Source organism: Homo sapiens, chromosome 2 (genome assembly GCF_000001405.40).
Source record: "Homo sapiens chromosome 2, GRCh38.p14 Primary Assembly".
NCBI classification, from domain to species: Eukaryota; Metazoa; Chordata; class Mammalia; order Primates; family Hominidae; genus Homo; species Homo sapiens.
Genome location: NC_000002.12, coordinates 116,767,738 through 116,771,734, shown reverse-complemented (window position 1 = coordinate 116,771,734; position 3,997 = coordinate 116,767,738).

Sequence of the window (3,997 nt, the reverse complement as noted above, 5' to 3'; positions counted from 1 at the left end):
TGAACGCCACCTCAGAAGGCCATAGAGTCCTCATTGGCAAGAAGGCTCTCACGAGATGTGCCCTCTTGACCTTGAACTTCCTAGCCTCCATAACTATAAGAAATGAATTACTTTCCTTTATAAATTACCTAGTTTCAGGTAATCAGTTATAAGCAACAGAAAACAGACTAAGACAAGAACTGAAAGACCTACTCCCCCATCTGCTGTACTGAAGCCAGAAAACAGACCTTGGCTAATGAAATCAACCTTGAATCCTACCTTATGCCATAGAAAAATGTTAATTTGGAATCATGATTATTTTCATTCAAAGTAATAACATTTGCAGACACATATTAGCTGCCAGGCTCATCAACATGGTAGATTGCCACAGGACTGACTCTCAGAAATGAGAAAAGTATACTCTAATTTTCTGGTATATTTTTATTAGTGTTTACTGTCTAAAATTATGGCTTAAAATATATTTAGCCTGATGCACCAAGCTCACAATTGTTAGGTATACAGATTAATAAATTTTTACACATGTATATGCTCATATAACCACCTCCAACATCCAAATGTAAATCATATATATGACCCCAAAAGTTTACTTCACCACTCCATGCTAACTATTCTTCTTATCACCATCAGTTTTGCCTACTCTCACATTTTGTAGAAGTGGGATTATATGATAAGTATTCTTTGGCATAAAGCTTTTGCCCTTTTGCCTGATATGATGACTGTAAAATTCATCCGTGTGGATGCAAATATAAATTTTTTTTTCTTTTTGTTACTTTATAGTATCCTGTTATAAGAATAAACCACAACATATGTATTCATGTTCCATTGATGGATATTTGGGTTGCTTTTACTTTTGGGTTATTATGAATATAACTGTCATGAACATACTTATGCTTGCTTTTTGGTAATATATACACTTATTCCTCTTAGACATATACCTAAAGATAGAAATGCTAGATCTTAGGGTGTATTTAACTTTTGTAAATATTGCCAAACAGTTTTTGAAAATGTGGGTCCGTTAACACCCTCACCAACCAAGAGTTCCCATTGCCCCACATATTTGCTAATGTCAGTCTCATTAATTGTAGCCAACTTTATGGGTAGGTAGTGGTACTTCACTTTAGTTTTAATTTACATTTCTCAGGTGAATAATGATACCTACCTTTAACATAGCAGTGTTTCCTTTCCATCACTGTTGATTGTTCCACTTTTCCTTCTTTCAAGAAAGATCCAACTGAAATAAATAATGTAGAGTTGTGATGAAATGTGGGTGCTCTCACAAATATAAATGCATGTAGAAGGAGGATGATTATCAAAATTGTCTCTGAAGGAATGCTTTCTTTTCATTCAGAGGATGGAATTAGAGACAGCAGCAGAGTCAAAGATACTCAATATGAATTTAAGGAGCTGAGATGTGAAGCCAAGATTATAAGATGAATATCTGATGATAATGCCTTTTTAACTTGCTTTTTTATAATGATAGCAACCTGGAATAGATAGAGCTCACAGATAATTCCAAAGCTGTTAGCTTCAGCCATCTAGGGATTATTTTCTTCATAACCATGACTCTAGATAAACATAGATTGCATTACCAGTTCTTAAAAGTTCCAATGAGTGCCTTATCAATCAATAGCCATTATATTTCTGAAGTAGGCATGATAAATTAGAATATATGTTTTAACAATATGATAGCATCACCGGGTCATGTTGATTTAAATATGTCAAATCATCATAGATCATCTTGTCAAATCTTATAAGCATAGTAAGACATCAGATTTGGAGATTTATAAAAATGACTTCAGGTTTTTCATCTTTCATAGACAGAAACTAACATGTTATCTAATGAAGCAAAAACTACAGGCATTTACACGTATGTGACTAGTGTTAGATTAAAAGATTCATGCAACCTGTATGTTATTCGTATACATATCGAATACTCATCTCCACTGACAAGCCCTGGCTCAGACCCACAACACTTAAAGACATATCTTTGTGTTGCTTGTCCTTCAGCATGCTGACTCAGCGTAATGGAGAATATTGCTTTGGGAATGCATTATTTCTGGACATATAGTCAGCATGGGCCAGAATGCTGATTCTGCAAACTAGTGATGAGCAGCATGGGGAAATGTGAGGATTTATAGCTGCTTTTAAGATGAGGGCCAAATCTTTGGGATGAGGGAAGGTCAATAGTTTGCTTGCTATTGGTCCATTTGTGCAGTGTATTGGGCATGCAGGGTATAATAGTTTAGATAAATGTGGTTACAGGCTCTAAAAGAAGCTATCTGAAAAGCAGATTTCTTATTTTTACCTATGAAATATATTTTATAGCTTAGCTTTTTTTGTTTTCAATTTTTATATAAATCAGAAGTCATATTATACTTCTTGAAAATATGTATATTTCATATTTGACAACCATTTACAGTACTAAGTAACCAAAACATAAATTTTACGCTTCGGATAAAAGCATAGGATGTTAATTTTACCAAAGCCAGGTTTCCCCAGCATAGTTGTAGCTACAATTGTGAGCCATTATACGTAGAAAATATCTTAGAGAATATGATGTGATGTGAGTACAGTCTGTAGTAATTAAGATAAGAGAAAGGCCAGTGTGTGCAGGAGAGATTGGGAAAGCCATAAAAAATTTGGGTGGAGCTTTAGACTGTGCTTTCCGCACAATATGCAATTATTAAGAATTGTTGAACTTAAATTTTTTACAAGTGGCATTACCAAAATTTATCGCAAATAATTAAGCATGATTTAAAGCAAGTTAAATTAAATGCATATGAATACTACAAAGAAATGTAAATAAAAAATAGATGATATAGCATAAGTCATTGTAACTTAGATGCCAATAGGTCTAAAATGTATTTAGGAGTTAAATTCAAAGACAAACTTTCCTTGGGCAAAACTGAGAGACGTAAAGAATTGCTAAAAGATCAGAGACAAGCAAAATGCACTGGATGGTGCTGCTTGGAGACTAGAAAGCCTTCTAGAGACCTTAGCTATGATGAGTCAGTAATAGGAAATGGTGGTAAGCTGCTAAGATGTGTGTTCAAGAATTATCTCATGCAACATTGTAATTAACCATAATATGAAGAGCCCAGGGACCTTTTTAATTTTTTTGAGTGGAGAAGCTAAAGAGTAGAATGTTAGAAAGCTTATTTAAAGCTAAGATATTAAAAAATGCTGGAGAAAAATTGAGAACTTTAAATGCTAAGCAGAAGGATTATTTAGAACCCAGTTTAGAGATGACCTTCAACATTTTTTAAGAAAGGAAGAAATAATAGGAAAATTGAGACAATGTGATCAATTGGTTTATGTTTTAGGGAGAGACTTTTGCTATAGTGATCATTTTTACCCAAAGCATATGATCAATACCTATATTTTTATCCTCTCTCTTATCACGTAATTAATGAAAGGAGAAACATTTCCAGTGTATCTGGTAGAGAGGCAGATAAAAATGTCACCATTTCTTTCTACTACTCAACTATTTAGAAAATCACCTATAACAAAGTTGTGTTATGTTTTGTTGTAATTGTAAATCAGTCACACTGAAACTTTAATCAGGTGGATGCACTTGCAACTGTCTTTTTAAAGACAAGCTCACATTCTGACTGTCTAGATCATCTTAGGCTCATCTTTCTAGATCTTCCACTGTGCTTTCCATAATCCCACATTGTTTCAATGTGTCTGAATTCTTTTCGCTCTTACATTAATTTTTATCTTAACTTTTCAACTCTCCAGGATTTCTCTCCCTTCTAAATCTTGCATCATGCTACTCAATACAAAGGGCCTCAGGGCTTGGAGTCAATTAAACATGCTTCGGAATCCTGTCATTCATAAGTTCTTTTTGTGTACTGTTGGACAAAAGCACCTGACCGTTCTGAACTTGATTTAGTAGGCATATAAAATGTGAATGGTTAATAATATCGCCCTGCAATTGTGATTAAGCAAACATGTCAGTTCAATTTTATTTAGAAAAAGCACATTGTTTAGTGAA